We start from the raw sequence: 16827 nt of genomic DNA, 5'->3' as shown, positions 1-16827 counted from the left end.
ATCTGTGTTTTAGAGAAACTTGAGCATTTCTGCAATGTGGTTTCAGAAGCAGACCTTGTCCTCTTGAGCCTCAGTTTCCCCACTTCTCTAGGGTGATTTACAAGGTGTGCCTGTCCCTGATGGAGTACATATAATTTCCATTTTGGAGCTGGATCCTAACTTGGGGGACAACTCCCCTTCTGTCCTTTATGTTTCCTAGGGAAGTGCCCGACAGGGTGGCACCACTACGAAGGCACGGCCAGCTGCTACCGGGTCTACCTGAGCGGGGAGAACTACTGGGATGCCGCGCAGACCTGCCAGCGCCTGAATGGCTCTCTCGCCACCTTCTCCACTGACCAGGAGCTGCGCTTTGTCCTGGCCCAGGAATGGGACCAGCCCGAGCGGAGCTTTGGTTGGAAGGACCAGCGCAAGTGAGTCCTGGATTGGGGACCTGAGGGGCTGGAGTCAGAGTCTGATGACTACTGAGCACATGGCCTCTGACCACTCAGTAAACTCCTGGAGCACAGCTGGCAGACAGCAGGTTGGGAAGACCAGCCTCGCCCACTGGAAGCCCAGGAGATCCATGGGTAGGAGTGTGCATCGAGATAGGTGGAGGGTCCTGGGAGCAGGGGCAGGCTGGACTCTGCTGCTACTTTGTGGGACTGTGGGGCAGCCCCTTTCATTGGTACCCCTCTCCTTGTACAAGTGCAGTTGCTGAGCGCAGGCAGGGGGCTGGGGGTGCTGGCTTGTGTGGGGAGAACTGCTTGGTGTGGGGCTTCGTGGGCCTTGTGCAAGGGGTGTGCAGTGTAGGTGGGGGTTCCCCCCAAGAAAGCAAGGGGGCCTTCGCTTCAAGACCCAAGCTGGGTTTTGACTCCACAGTTATGCCCTGTGAGAGTTTGGCAAATCACAAGACGGAGTTGTTTTTCCTTCTGCAGCTACAAAGGGAGGAAACTAACTCTTAGCTCACAGGTTGTTGTACTAACCCCATGAGGACAGGCCTGTGAGTCCAGTGGAGAAGCAAGAGGGTATAGCCCGGAGGGCAGGGCAGCCCCATCTCTGAGGACAGCCTTGTGGTTGCACAGCATAGGGCAGAGTGTGCCATCCCTGGGCTCCTGCCATGCGGGGAGACCTGCTGATGGGCATCTCTAGGCTTGGGGCTGGAAAGCTGGGCCAAGGGACATGGACTAGGCAGGAGCTTATGGCGGTCAGCCAGATGCCAGTGCAAGGTCCTTTCAGTGCTAGGCCTGCATGCTCAGGAGCAGGCTGCAGGCCTGAGGTGGGCTGGCTCTGAGTGGGAAGCCGTGCAAGTGTTTTCAGCCCCCATGGTAGTGGATATTTGCAGGGACTTATGTCTTTATTGAGATGCAGTTCACATGCCATGAAAATCTCCCCTGTGGAGTGCCCTGTCCTATGGTTTTAGCATAGTCACCGAGTTGTATTCATGGGGTTTCATGTCTACCAAGAATAAGATTGTTCTTGCTTAAATTGTGAAAGCTTTACCGGTTTAGCTCATAGAAACAGTCTTGGCAAGAGTTCCCTGAGATAAAACTTTTCCTGCCCTGTGAACTTTCTTGTTTTGAATTTTAATGCATTCTAACATGAGTGTCTCATGTTAGAAGCTCAGTGTTGTGGAGGTCAGTATAGCTATTAAAAAACAATCCCAGCACTTTGGGAAGCCGAGGCGGGTGGGTCATGAGGTCAGGAGATCGAGACCATCCTGGCCAATATGGTGAAACCCCGTCTCTACTAAAAAAAAAAAAAAAAATACAAAAATTAGCTGGGCGTGGTGGCCTGTGCCTGTAATCCCACCTACTCGGGAGGCTGAGGCAGGAGAATTGCTTGAACCAGGAAGTCAAGTTGCAGTGAGCCGAGATCGCACCACTGCACTCCATCCTGGTGACAGAGCGAGACTCTGTCTCAAAAAACAAAAAACACACAGTCATTGATGGTTGCATCCCTCCTGCCGCTGAGATCTCTGTCTCTGTCTCTGTGCCCTGCAGGTTGTGGGTTGGCTATCAGTATGTTATCACTGGCCGGAACCGCTCCTTGGAAGGTCGCTGGGAGGTGGCATTCAAAGGTGAGCCCTTCTGGTGTGTGGGAGTGTTTGAAGCTGGGCAGAGTCACCCTGATTCGGGGCCTCCCCTCCTCCCTCTTACCCAGTGCTGCCTGGCCCGTAGGGGTGCTGTGCAGGGAGTGGGTGAGCCCCAGTTGCAGGGAGGGCTGCGGTCATGGGGCCAGTGCAGCCTGCAGATCAGGCCCTGCATTGGGCGGTGGCTGTCTCTGGAACCCTCTGTTGCATCTCACTTTGGCCAGCTTTCTAGATTGTCCCCCGCCTCCTTTTGAAGTTAAAGACCTTGGAGTATAAAAATGAGCATGCAGAGTGTGCCCCTGGCAGGCTGGAGGGGAGGACAAGCTTGCCAGGACAAAGGTCAGACGTAGAATCCAGACCTGAAGGAAACTATCAGGCAGATAGAGAGAGAGAGAGAGAGAGAGAGAGAGTGAGCATGCATGTGTGTGTGTGCGCAAAGATTTTATGCGGAGCTGCTTGGAAATACCAAGACGACGTAAAGGAAACATGGCTGCTGTTTCCTTTACATTCCCTGGGCTCGGACTTGGCTTGCCCTTCCTGTCCCATTGCCCTGGCACTGGCGAGCTCCTCCTGGACATACTCCAGCAGTGCCTTCTCCAGCTGCCGCCAGGGTCACACTCCCTTGCCCTGCCCCTTCCCTGTCTGTTGGGCTGTACTTTGTGCCTGTGGCTTGAGCTAGGATTTGGGTTCTTTTCGTAAACACATCCCAGTCCTGCTGTTGATGTCTTAAGTATCTCTAAGAAGGATAAATGAGGAGTGATGGGCCTGGGGACAGGGTTGAAAAGGGTCAAGGCCTGGGTGGCCGGCTTCCCTGGAGAAAAGAGGGCCCCACAGAGGCGGGGCCATGCCTGGCTGCTGGGACAGGGCAGGAGCAGAGGTGGGGGCTGCAGAGCCCAGCAGACTGGGGCCACACCTGCTGTCCCGATCCTGCTCAGGACAGATGCCACCCTGTTCTCATGACCACCAGTGCCCTCCTGAGAGCCCCAGCCACATTTGCATTCCCTGGCTTTATGAGTGCATTGTTTAGATTGCTATTGACTAATCAATGGCTTCTGGGTTTCCAGGCCCCAGAGTCAAAGTTTGCCTCATAGAGCATAATTATCCTGGTAGCTTGTCCTCCTGACACTGGTGGTTGAAGAGAAGACATGATTCTGAGTGGGATGACAGCACATTCAGAGTTGGGGACTGGGGGCCTCATGCTTGGTGTGAGAATGGCAAGGGTCCTGGGTGGGCTTTAATGGCCAAGTGCAGCTCAGTGACTCCATTGGAGCCTCAGGCAGGAGAGTGAACCTAAAATTTAGAAAAAGATTGAACACGTATGTTGGTGCTGGCAGCTGCAGCTGGCATAGAGCTCCCTATTTGTGTGGCTCAACGTGCAAGGGGCCCCACAGCATCCCGGAGCTCCACGGAGGTGACCATGTGCCACTGCCTGCTTGTGCCCAGTTAAATGGATTCGGGAACTCTGTTAGCGGATTTAAATAGTGGTCACAAAACAAATAGTAACAATAACAATAATTCTTCTGCTGCAGGATAACTGGCCCTTGATGCAGCTCAGCATCATGAGTGGTTCTGGGCTTAAAGAGATTAAAGAAACATAAAACCAAATGTGGCACAAGAACCCTTATGGTGTCCTAGGTTGGGAGGCTTATAAAATCTTCCACAGGACAATTCAAGAAATGAGTGGGGACTTGTGGAAGATTCATTTTCTTAGGTGCAGCAATAGGACTGTGGTTGTGTGGTTTTAGGAGCCAGTATCCTGGAGTCTGCAGGGGAGGGGCTCCCAGGGTGGTAGGGCAGAGAGGAGCCAAGCAGCAGGGTGCGGTCAGCACCGAGGTGGCTCGGGTGCACGCACTCCTCTCTCCATAGTGGAATCGTTTTAAAAATTCCTGTACCAAAAGCAAGCTGCAGAGTGAAGACAGTACTGAGTATAAAACAAGCTAGCAAGAGCACGTCTAGCCCAGCCCAGCCCACCCCAGCCTTTCTCCTGCCTGGGGACATGGTGCAAAGCAGAGGGGTCATTGGGGTCTGAGGTGTTGGCCCCCCCAAAAATACCCAAAAAACCATGGGAAATGGATGTAAGTCATTTGTTACTCATTCTGAACCCTTCCCTAAGAAAATATTGTACCTGAGAATATCAGCTAATGATGGTGGAAGGGCCTCACATTAAGATGTTGAAAAATGTTTCTTTCATCTACATGTTGTCCATCTTTTCTGTGTTGTATAATATGTTCCAGATTGGGGTGTGAGTGATACCATGGTACATAGACGCTTACTATGCCCATGTGTCGGTACCCTGCACACACATTTGAAGTTGGGAGCTCGTTTCCGCAGGGTTCCTGTGCGCCTTGGTGGAGCGCTCTCCAGGCGCTCCCCCAGGCCCACACCAGCCTGTGAGCCCCGCCTGGGGGCCAAGACCCTGCAGGTTTGACAGCACCAGGTCATGATGTGCCCTGGAGACAGAACTGCCGCTGCTGCTGCCAGAAGACATGAGGCCAGGATTTCTGTAACATTTGTGCAGAAAGGTTGAAAAAGTACAGATCCTTGTGTAGGGAGAATCATCCACACCGCCCCACGTGCTGCTCCCAGGGCCTTCCCGTCAGCACCAGCAGTGTAGCTTCTGTCTGGTGAGTCATACTTGATATTTACCTTAAAATATAAAAGTGAAAACAGCGTGTGTTTCATGTGTCCACATGTTGTGTCACTTGCTCATTTAAGATTACTCAGTGCCTGGCCCTCATTTGTCCCCCGTGGTGTCTCAGCACGCACATTGCAGGTTGGCTGAGGTCAGGAGGTGTGTGACTTAGTAGAAGCCTTCTTTTCTCCCCCAAAATCTTGTGCCCAGTCCTTTATGGTCTCCGTCTTCTTCTTTCTCTGGTGCTGTACCTGAGGGATTGTATGGTGTTGCCCGCTGAGGCCAGCAGTCAGGGCTGTGGTCCTGGGCCAGCCTGTGGGACCTAGCGTTTAGAAGCCTCAGTCAGCAGTGAGGGAGGGGCCAGGCTGGCCTAGCAGCCACTGGAAGGTGCATTGTAGAGACCCTGCCCTCTGGGTGAGCTGACCATTGGTCTAGGATGGGGTCAGCTGGGGTCAGGCCACAGTTCTTGGAGGGGAGACAGACCCTGAGTGGGGCAGCTGCCACCGTGGTGGGGCATTCGGGAGCATCTGGACAGCCCCTGGTGGGCCCGAGTGGAGGCTCATTCTGTGGCTGTGGAGGTGGCGAGACAGGAAGGGGAGGTTCTTTGAGGGCTCAGAAAAGTGAGTGAAGGTCTCCCCACCACTCGAACAATGGGGGACTCGGGGGCCGGGGAGGGTTCTCCAGGCTCGGCGAGCAGCGGTGGACATGGAGGTGGCAGTGGCTGCTCGCACATGTGGGAGAGGATGTGGTGGCAGAGGTAATCAGGTTCAGATGCCCTCGTGTATCAGTCTGGGGAGCAGGGTGTCCTCCGGTGGCTGGTGACGGCCCAGCCCAAGGCTCCCGTCAGAGTCCTGCGCACACCTCATGTGTGGACATATGGGAGGGGCACCTGGAAACTTGCCGCCACCCTGTCGAGGTGAGGACTGGATCTGCTGGGGTGGCAGGGGGTGAGGAGTAGTGTCTTGGAGGGAGGCTTGAGAGGAGGGCTCTGCACGAGGAACTGCTCCCAGTCACTCTGGTAGCCAGGGCAGCTCTGCTCACAGGGCCTTTCTCTAGGATGAGGGTCCTTCAGGAAGAGCGGGATGTTTGAGGTAAGGGGGTGTCCAGGAGGAAGTGGGAGGCCCTGGAGGAAAATCTGCAGGAGTCATCCCCAGTGCAGTATCGGGAAGCCTCCAGGCTCCTCTCACACCTTTGGAATATGTCCAGGATCTCATCACCTGGCACCAGTCTTGCAGCCCCCACCGGGATCTAACACCCAATCATCCGTCACCCGATTGTGCTCGTGGCCTCTGTCTGGTCTCCTGGCCCCAGCCCCACCGCTCCTCACACAGCTGCTGGGGGTCCTTTTCACCTCTGCTCCCTTGTTCACAGCTCTCGTTTCTCATAGAAATCACAGTTCCATCAAGGCCAGCAGCCCCTTCCTTCACTACCCTCATCACCTACCACTCCCCAGCCTCTTCTCCAGCCCCACAGGCTGCCTTGTTCATGGCTGCCACTGTGACCTCTTCCAGGGATGCTCCAAAGACGAACACCTGCCCGCTCTGCAAGGCTGCACCTCGGGTAGGCATGCAGTGCCCGCATGACCAGCCCCCATTCAGCACCTGGATGCAGAGCCACCAGCAGCTCCCCTGGGCAGGGGCGCTACACAGGTGCCCATGCAGCTTGCTGCCAGGAGGGAGCACTGTGTGGCTCTCTGGGCCCTGGCCTAGAGTGCCACACGAACCCTGTTTTGCTGGTTGCCTGACTCACTCTGACTTGCTGTGCCCCGGTCCAGGCAGCTTTCGTGGGCAAATGCTGGGTCCCAGGACTCTGCCCGGAGAGGTCATTTGTGTCCTTGGTCTCAGTCTGCTGTCATGTACTGTAGTTGTGGGCAGGAGCTCTTAGCTGGCAACTAGCTTCAGCGCTGAAGATTTTTTGTTTGTTAAAGATTGGAAGGAACCTGTTTGGTTTTCTTGCCACGGGACAAGAAGGCAAATAGTGAAGAAAACAGTGTTTAAAAGGGGAGGGGCTCTACTTAGGTGAGAAGGCATCTGTGGGAGATGAGGAGGGTGTGCAGGGGCTCGGGGGCCTGGAGGAAAGGTGGGGTGGTGCACAGCGTGATGGTGGTGGCACCCACTGTCAGCAGTGGAGACCAGCCCTCCAGGTGGTATGGGGAGGTGACTCCAGACAGTGGGCCCCTTTCCTGCTCTGCTGTGGGTCTGATAGATGCAGATGAGGCAGGCGAGATGCTGGGCCTGTATGTCCCTGGGAAGGGGGCACAGCTGTTGCTGTGGCTGCCTGCTGGCCTGGCACAGGTCTTGCAGGTCTCAGAGCTTCCTGAGAGCTGTCCTCCTGCCCATGGCAGGGCACCATGTGTCCACAGGCCCACAGCATAGGCCTGCCTCCAGACTCACTGGCTTTTTTGAGGCAGAGCCCCATGTTTCGTGCTGGGTATAAACAGAGCTCCAAAAGACGCAGGTGAGAATGCTGGAGGCTTATAAATGGGGTGAGCTGCACTGCTGCTGTCTTAGGAGGGGGAGAGCACCAGGTGTGCCTTCATTATTCTGCTTCTTGGAAAGGTTGCTTTGTGTTTCCATTGATCCTGGTCGGGTAAGCCTCAAGGAATCTTGGCAGCCCAGACTGGAAGGGCCGTGCAGGGGAGAGAGTGGGGCCTAGGGCTGGCTGTGCCATGCCCTGGGCATGGCCAGAGCCCACCTGGAACCTTGCAAAAGAGAGGCTTGGAGGTTAGCAGTCCCCAACCCTCACGCTCTCTGCGGCAGGGGTACACGGTTTCTGACTGCCTTGTGCCTGGCTTAGGCAGGAGCTGAGTGGGTGACAGTTTCCCTTGAGCTGAGAGAGGTCCCCGGGAGCCAGTGCTTCCTAAGTGTTCCCTGCAGCCAGCTGCTGGCAGTGCCGGCCAGTGCCAATGCTGCCTGACGGCGCCTTTCTCCTGGGTGTTGGGTGGACTTTGTAAGTCTTCTGTTTATCTGAGTGTGCTGTCCTAAGGGAGAGCTTCCCTGCCTGTTTCCCTTGCCCATTCCCCTGTTTGCATTTTAATCCAGTGTGCCACAATCCATTACTTTGTTATTATGCTGTTGCTCTAACTTTAAATGCCACCCACTAACCGTGATCCAGCACCCTCTTCTGGTGCTCAGGCTGGCACTTACTGCTACCCAGGGTTTGTGGCCTGTGTGCTTGCAGGCTCCAAGGAGTGGCTCCCGCTAGGCCCAGCACCTGGGGTGACTCCCAGGAGGTTGGGGAGTCCCGAGTGAACACCTGGCCACAGTGACCACCAGTACTTGGCGGTCCAGGCCCTGTGGTTGATGATCCTGTCTGACGCCATGGTCCCCTTGAGGACTGCACAGCTTGTCCTCTGATGTGATGTTGTCCAGCCCCACCTTTTGTCTCCCCAACAGGCTCTTCAGAGGTGTTCCTGCCCCCAGACCCCATCTTTGCCTCGGCCATGTCTGAGAACGACAACGTGTTCTGTGCCCAGCTTCAGTGCTTCCATTTCCCCACCCTGCGGCACCACGACCTCCACAGCTGGCACGCCGAGAGCTGCTACGAGAAGTCTTCATTTCTGTGTAAAAGAAGTAAGCCCCCTTGAGCTGGCGTTCTTGGGGAATGTCTGGGCCCTTGTGTCACTTTGTTGGACCCTGAGTTCAAGGTTTCGGAGGCAGAACCTGATTTGCAGTGTTGCGGTGGACGCCCCTTACCAGCTCACACCTTGTTCTTGGGGCCCATTTGCAGCTCTGTGACCAGGGCAGCTGGTCAGCATCTTAGAGCCCACGGAAGCATCTTAGAGCCCAGCTTCTTTTCCCACGGAAGAGACAATCATCCCTGTCCTCCCTGTTGCAGTGTTGTTAAGAGAGTAAATGGGAATGAGGACCCAAGGACTTGGCATCTCTGGAGCATCTAAGGCTGTTTGTCACCTCCCCACCCCCCATTTCTGCCATCCTTCTCTCTGCTTCTCTGCTTCTCTGTTTACCTTGCCAGTCTATGGTGTGTGTGTTTTTTTTTTTTTATTAAAGCCAGCTAACTCTATTGCTTTTGGGGGACAGGGGTCTCAGGAGCTCTTGGTGGGGCAGGTCCCCTTCCTCTTCACCATCACAGGCTTCTGGCTTCGCAGGATGGCGCTGGCTCTGGGATGGCAGCTGTGCGCAGGTTGGGGAGAGGCTTTGTTCTTGCGGATCATGTGTGTGATGTTGCCGAGCATGGTGCAGGCGTTCTTGTTGACGGTGGTCCTCTTTTTCTTTTTTTTTTTGGGACAGAGTCTCGCTCTGTTGCCCAGGCTGGAGTGCAGTGGCGTGATCTCGGCTCACTGCAAGCTCCGCCTCCCAGGTTGAAGCGATTCTCCTGCCTCAGCTTCCTGAGTAGCTGGGACTACAGGTGCCTGCCACCACGCCCGGCTAATTTTTTGTGTTTTTAGTAGAGGCGGGTTTCACAGTGTTAGGATGGTGTCGATCTCCTGACCTCGTGATCCGCCCACCTCGCCCTCCCAAAGTGGTGGGATTACAGGTGTGAGCCACCGTGTCCACCCGACGGTGGTCCCCTCATAGGAGGTGGCTGGCTTCTGCTGGCCGGATCTCCACTCCATGACCACCACCACACCTTTGCCATCAGCTGCCGGGTCCACACCCACAGTCCTGCAGTGAATCAGCTCGTTGTAGTGGAAGGAGCTGCAGCCTTTAAGTTCTCAGGCTCAGTGCTGTGGGTCTGCTTATTCCCCTTGATCAGGCCGGATGATTCCTCGCGACCATCCATTGCAGATGTGCGGCCGGGGCGGCAGCTCCTCCCAGGTGGCTGGCAACAGAGAGAGCTTCATGATAAATCTTGACTGCTGGTGTTACGACTTCCTCTGCCTTGTTCTTGCCTGTTATGTTGCCTATTTTTGACCCTTTTCTATGTGAATTTTAGGATATGTTTTCTAAACTCCTTTATTGGTTCTCTTAGTTTGTGGATTTTGTTGATTTTCTATTTAGATGGGTTTGTTTCTTCTTTCAAATCTTTGACATTTATTTATTTATTTACATTTATTAGAGATGTGGTTTCACTATGTTGCCCAGTCAACTCTTCTTGCTACAGTCTCCAGGACAGTGATGATTAGAAATGGTGGTAGTGAGCATTCTTGTCTTCTCAACTTAGAATGCTATTTTAATGTATCAATATTCTACAGAATGCCTTCTATAGGATTTTAGAATGTACCTGTATGAAGTCAAAGAAGTACCTATTCCTAGGTTGCTGGGAATATTTGTGTTACAAAAGTGTACTGATTTTTATTAAATGCTTTTAGTGGATTTTATTGGGGTTATGTAGTTTTTCTTCAGTCTGTTCAGTCATTATTTCATATAAATGGATTTTCTTATGTTAAACCATCCTCATGGTTTATATATATATAATATATTATATTGGTGGATTTGGTTTGCTGATATTTAGAATTTTTGAAACTCTTTGTTGTTTTTTGAGACAGAGTCTTGCCCCGTCACCCAGGCTGGAGTGCAGTGACGTGATTTCAGCTCACTGTAACCTCTGCCTCCCGGGTTCAGGCAGTTCTCTTGTCTCAGCCTCCTGAGTAGCTGGGATTACAGACATGTGCCACCACGCCTGGCTAATTTTTGTATTTTTAGTAGAGATGGCGTTTCACCATGTTGGTCAGGCTGGTCTTGAACGCTGGTCTTGAACTCCTGACCTCAAGTGATCCACCTGCCTCAGCCTCCCAAAGTGCTGGGATTATAGGTGTGAGCCACCGTGCCTGGCCTGAAACTCTTTTAAGAAGTGAGGTTGGCCTGTTACATTTTTTTCTATACTCTCCTTGACTCTCTCTTTTTTTTTTTTTTAAGGTGGGGCATCACTGTGTTGCCCAGGCAAGAATGCAGTGGCTAATCACAGGCACGATCATAGCACAGTACAGTCTTGAACTCCTAGGCTCAAGTGAGCCTCCTGCCTCAGCCTCCCAAGTAGCTGGGACTACATTGACTCATTTCTGTATTATACTATATTAGTTTTCTAAAATGAGTTGGCAAACATTTTATTTTACTGTTCTCTAAATCCATTTGTCCAAGTTGGAGATAAACTTGTCTTTGAGTGTTTGATAGAACCACCTTATAGGACCATCTGGGTCAGGCGAGGGAGACTTCTGTAACTTGTTAATTTAGGTATAATTTCAAGCTTATGGAAAAGGCAGAATAATACAAGGAACTTCCTTTCATACACCATTTACACAGACTCACCAGTTACAGTATTTCAGTTTTACTGCATTTGCTTTATCATTCACTTTCTCTACATGTTTCTTCTGAATCATTTGGGAGTAAACTGAAGATACTGTGGACCTTAATTAAGCGTTTTATACTTCAGTGTGTATTTCCTAAGAACAAGGACACTTTCTTATGTACCCACACTATATGGATCAAAATCAGAACACTTAGCATGGATACAGTACCATACAGTAATCCACAATCCATTATTCCAGTTTTATCAGTCGTTCCAATAATATCCTTTATAGCTATTTTTTTCATTGTCCAGAATCATGCATTGCATCTAGTCATCATGTCTCTTGGATTCTTTTAGTCCTTCAGTTTGAGTAATTTCTGTTGACCTGTCCTCAGGTTTACTAATTCTTTCCTTGGCTATGTCAAGTCTGCTTATGAGCCCATTGAAGGTATTCTTCATCTGTTTCATTGATTTTGTCTGTTTTTTTATTTATAGGATTTCCATTTGATTCTTATAGATTCCATCTCTCATCTGAATTTCCCATCTAACCTTGTATATTGTCCAGCTTTTCCACTGGAGCCTTTAACAAATTAATCGTAGTTATTTTAAATTCCCTGTGGGGAAGTTCCTTCATCTGTGTCATATTTGAGTCTGGTTTTTTGATTGTTTTGTCTCTGGAGCATGGTACTTTTTTCTAGGCTTTTCATTGGAACTCTGACATCTTGTGTGGGACAATAGAGACTGAGTTCAGTAGTTTTGTGCTTGCAGTGGCTATGCCTTTACTTCCACTAGGCCTTTCTTGTGGGGAGGTCTTTAGTACAGTGCAGGGCGTTGATCTGGGCGAGAGTTGGGCTGGGCTTGGGGTTTGTTGGCACTGTAGTTGCCCTCAGTGCACCTCAGGCTTTCGTATTTAGCAGCATTGTTGTTCTGGGTGGAGGCTGGTTTGCCAGAGGGTTTTTCTTAATGTCTGCTCCACCCTCTACTTGAGGTCATCCCTTTGGGCTACATCTCTAGAGTCTGTCTTTTGCAGCCCGCCTAGCAGTAGTCCACTGTGTGACTCAAGGCTTGTTAGCATGCTGATAGTAGGGTCTGATGTTCTAACTGTATCTGAGCCTTAAGCAGGCCCAGTGCCCTGAGGATCCAGGGTGGAGCCTTCACAAGTGCTTCTGACCCTCCTGCAGCTGGAGTTGGGTCCAGCACAGTGGCTTTTCACCAGGGCCCTAAAGGCTCCAGGTATGCTCTGATTAGAGGCAGCCTGACTAGAAGCAGGGCAGTGGAGGTGATTGGTTTGGGGAACATATTTGACTTTCCCTGGTGGGTTTCCAGTTGGAAGTATGGACTCAAAATAGAGAAGCTGGTGGCCACTGGCCAGATCCTGACTGCCCTAGACTGGTTGCTACAGAAGTGGTAGGTCAGAGGCCTTTGGTCATATGTGGTCTGGCCTTTGTCAGGTATCATCATGAGGCAGAAATGTTCTATAAATGGAATCATATAGTTGCAACCTTTTGGGGTTGGCTTTTTTCACTCATAATTCCCTGGAGAGTCATCCAAATTGTTACTTTTATTAATGATTTGTTCCTTTTTTTTTTCTTTTTGGCGACAAGGTCTCTGTCACCCTAGAGTACAGTGGTGTGATCACTGCTCACTGCAGCCTCAACCTCCCAGGCTCAGGTGAACCTCCCACCTCAGCCTCCCGAGTAACTGGGACCACAGGTGCATGCCACTGTGCCCAACTTATTTTTGTATTTTTTTTTTTTTTGTAGAGGCGGGATTTCGCTATGTTGCCCAAGCTGGTCTCAAACTATAGGCCTCAAGTGTTGAAGGACATCTGGGCTGTTTCCAGTCTTTGGCTATTACAATGAAAACTGCCGTGAACATCCGCATACAGGTTTTTGTGCAAACGTGTTTTCTTTTTTCTTTTTTTCTTTTGTGTGTGTGTGTGTGTGTGTGTGTGAGACAGAGTCTTTCTCTGTTGCCCAGGCTGGAGTGCAGTGGCACAGTCTTGGCTCACTGCAGCTTCCGCCTCTTGGGTTCAAGCGATTCGCATGTCTCAGCCTCCCGAGTAGCTGGGATTACAGGCATGTGCCACTACGCCCAGCTAATTTTTGTCTTTTTAGTAGAGATGGGTTTCACCATGTTGACCAGGCTGGTCTTGAACTCCCAGTCTCAGATGATCCACCTGCATCGGCCTCCCAAAGTGCTGGGATTACAGGCATGAGCCACCACGCCTGGCTGCAAATGTGTTTTCACTTCTGTGTGATAGATGCCCAGGATTACAGTTGCTTGATTGTATCGTAGTTGCAGGTTTAGTTTTTAAAGAAACAAGCAAATTGTTTTCCAGAGTGGCTGTACTATTTTATAGTCCCACTATCAACGTAGGAGTGATTCAACGTAGGAGTGATTTAATTTCTCCATATCCTCCCCAGCGCTTACTGTTTTCACTATTTTTCATCTTAGCCCTTCTGTTAGGTATGCAGATATGTATGTAGACCTGTGGCTCCTTATGGTTTCAATTTGCATTTCCCTGAGGCTACTGATGTTAAAACCTCTTCATGTTTCATGTGCTTATTTGCCATCTGTATATTCTCTGTTGTTCACATTATTCTTCCGTTTTCTCTTTGCATCGTTTGTTCGTTTTGTTTTGAGAAAGGGTCTTGCTCTGTCACCCAGGCTCAAACGCAGTGGTGCAATCATAGTTCACTGTAACCTCCAGCTCCCGGGCTCAGGCAGTCCTCCCACTTCAGTCTCCTGAGTAGCTGGAACTGTAGGTGTGCACCGTCATGCCTGGCTAAGTTTTTTATTTTCTATAGAGATAGGATCTCACTATGTTGCCTAGGCTGGCTTCAAACGCAACTCCTAGGCTCAAGTGATCCTCCTGTATTGAGATTACAGGTGTGAACTAATGATCTGTTTTGTTCTTTTTTAAACTGTGGAGTTTTGAGAGTTCTTTATGTATTCTAGATACCAGTCCTTTGTCAGATATGTGGTTTGCAAATATTTTTTCTAGTCTGTAGCTTGCCTTCATCCTCTTCAGGTGAGCTTTCAGGAACAAAAGTTTTGTTGTTGCTGTTTTTTCCTGGCAGTATAAGTTTACCCAAAGAACAAAAGTTCTTAATTTTAATGAAGTCCTAGTTATTTCTCTCTCCTTTCGTGGATTTTTTTTTTTTTTTTTTTTTTTTTGTGACAGAATTTCACTCTGTTGCCCAGGCTGGAGTGAAGTGGTGCAATCTTGGCTCACTGCAACCTCCACCTCCTGGGTTCAAGTGATTCTTGTGCCTCACCTTCCCAAGTAGCTGGGATTACCAACATGAGCCACCACGCCTGGCTAATTTTTCTATTTTTAGTAGAGACAGGGTTTCACAGTGTTGGCCAGGCTGGTCTCAAACTCCTGACCTCAGGTGATCCACCTACCTCGGCCTCACAAAGTGCTGGGATTACAGGTGCGAGCCACTGAAACCAGCTTCCTTTTATGGATTATTCTTTTGGTGTCAAGTCCAAGTACTCTTTGCCTAGCCTTACATTTCTTCTGTGTTTTTTTCCTAAAATTTTAATCATTTTCCGTTTTACATTTAAGTCTAGGACATGTTTCGAATGAGTGTTTTAATAAGATGTGAGACTTAGGTGAAGTTCTTTAGTCCAGTATAGCTTTGCTCCCACACACCACCTTTGTGCCATTCTTGGCAAATCTAAGTGTGTTATATTTTTGTATGTCATAGACCCAATACTACATTCCATACATATTATTTTATACAATTGCTTTTTAAATCAGCTAAGAGAATAAAGGAGGAAAACTATGCATGTAGGCTATAATTTATAATCACGATTGCCTTTACTGTTGCTCTTCAGTTTCTTATTTGTATTCAAATTACTATCTGGGGATTGCATACTTTTGGCCTGAAAAACTTCCTTTAGTGTTTCTTATAAGGTGGATCTGCAAACAACTTCTCTCACTTGTTGTTTGTCTGGGAAAGTTTATTTTACTTTCATTTTTCAGAAGATATCTTTGCTGGATATGGATCTTGGTTGATGGTTTTCTGTGAGCAGTTATCCCACTGCCCCAGCCTCTGTTGTTTCTGCTGAGAAGTCAGTTGTTTGTCTTATTGGGGTTCCCTTAGAAGTAACAAGTCACGTCCCATTTGCTGCTTTTCGTATTTTCGCCTTGTCTTTCACTTTCAGCATTTTCACTCTGATGTGTCAGTTTGTGGCTCCTTTGCATTTATCCTAGGAATGTGGAATTTGTTGAGCTTCCTGGATGTATAGGTTATTGTTTTTCAATGAATTTGAGTAGTTTGCAGCTGTTAGTTCTTCGACTAATTTTTTTTTGCCTCTTTCTCTCTCTCCTCTCCATTTGTTACTCCTGTTTCACATATGTTGGTGTACTTAATGGTGTTTCACATTTCTCTGGGAGCTCTGTTCATTTCTGTTCATTCTTTTTTCTCTATTTTAGCCAGGGAATAATTGTATGTGAGTATCTTGCCCTGGGAGTTCCTGACCACATGGGTGACCTAGATTTGATCCCAATCTTTTTTTTTTTTTTTTTTTGAGACAGAGTCTCATGCTGTCGCCCAGGCTGGAGTGCAGTGGCACAATCTCTGCTCACTGCAACCTACACCTCTGGGGTTCAAGAGATTCTCATGCCTCAGCCTCCTGAGTAGCTGGGATTACAGGCACATGCCACCACGCTTGGCTAATTTTTGTATTTTTAGTGGAGACAGGGTTTTGCCATGTTGGCCAGGCTGGTCTTGAACTCCTGACCTCAGGCAATCTGCCTGCCTCGGCCTCCCAAAGTGCTGGGATTACAGGTGTGAGCCACCGCGCCCAGCTGACTACAATCTTAAGTGAGGCATAGACCTGTGATTGTGAAATTTCGGAAGAGTCTTTTTTCTAGACATCCTTACCCCATTTGGAGACTGTAAGAAGCTACCTTCTCATGTCTCTTTGCCTTTCACTGAGGGTGGCTCTCTTGGAGGCTCCTTCATTCCTTGTCTCTCCTCCAGGCATTTGCAACGTCTGCCTACCAGTTGAAGACTCTGGGTTTTTAGCCATGGCCATTCCTCTTACTCTCATCCTAGGTCAGCTCTGTGCAGAGTGTGCCTCAGGTCCAGTGGACTGCCTTCCCAAGCAGAACTGGCAGCTTCCTTACACACATTCTGATTTTGAAATGGTTAATACTCATAGCAGCTGCATCTTAGAATTGAGAAAATCTCATAAGTAATCTACTTCAGCAACTTCCAGGCAAACACTTCTGCAGTGACCCTGGAGTCTGGCATTGTGCTCCATCCTGGCTCTCCGGCCTCCATTTGCCCTGGCTAGATGTACTTTGTTCTAACAGTGTTGTAGTGACTGCTCTTGGACAGCCACTCCCTGTGCCATGGGCCAGAGATCCATGGCATTCCAGCCCTGGGAAGACTCTCAGCACAATCTGGCCAAGTCTTCAGTTGCCTTGTTCGTTCCCCAGGCCCAGGTGGGGAAGGTCAGCTCATGTCAAGTGGTGCAGCAGTGATGGCAGTGTTTGCTCACAGAGCTGTCTTAGAGGCTTTGATGCCATTACTCTAGTGGGCATGTCTCACATGCCCCCTCCAGCTGCCTCCTTCCCATTCTAAGGTAACAGGTAGCATTCACAGGCCCACACGGGGAGGCTACCTTTTTTGGCAGTGTGGCCCACACGGGGAGGCTACCTTTTTTGGCATTGTATACATCTGTACACAATGTATGCTCATTGCAGGTCAAACATGTGTTGACATCAAGGACAACGTGGTGGATGAAGGGTTCTACTTCACCCCTAAGGGGGACGACCCATGCCTGAGCTGCACCTGCCATGGAGGGGAGCCTGAGATGTGTGTGGCTGCTCTCTGTGAGAGGCCCCAGGGCTGCCAACAGTACCGCAAGGACCCCAAAGAGTGCTGCAAGTTCATGTGTCTGGACCCAGGTGAGACTC

General features: G+C 50.0%; 1 protein-coding gene and 1 pseudogene across 5 annotated transcripts in view; one reads left to right on the top strand and one right to left on the bottom strand.

Moving 5' to 3' along the window:
- The window catches only part of DGCR2 (DiGeorge syndrome critical region gene 2), an 86127-nt gene that overhangs the window by 57155 nt on the left and 12145 nt on the right, over positions 1 to 16827 (top strand). For 2 of the 5 annotated variants that reach the window (NM_001173534.2, NM_001184781.2), the window contains 4 exons: positions 200 to 410; positions 1980 to 2056; positions 8096 to 8272; positions 16615 to 16818. In NM_001173534.2, coding sequence (NP_001167005.1) covers positions 200 to 410; positions 1980 to 2056; positions 8096 to 8272; positions 16615 to 16818 — 669 coding nt within the window. Of the gene's footprint in view, positions 1 to 182; positions 411 to 1979; positions 2057 to 8095; positions 8273 to 16614; positions 16819 to 16827 lie in introns of all 5 variants that reach the window. The other 3 variants (NM_001173533.2, NM_005137.3, NR_033674.2) reach the window with 2 other exon arrangements.
- On the bottom strand, positions 9071 to 9417 carry RPL28P6 (ribosomal protein L28 pseudogene 6; annotated as a pseudogene).

This window comes from Homo sapiens, chromosome 22, assembly GCF_000001405.40.
Source record: "Homo sapiens chromosome 22, GRCh38.p14 Primary Assembly".
Lineage (NCBI taxonomy): Eukaryota > Metazoa > Chordata > Mammalia > Primates > Hominidae > Homo > Homo sapiens.
The sequence above is the reverse complement of the archived record's forward strand: the minus strand, read 5'-3'. Positions and strand labels throughout refer to the sequence as shown.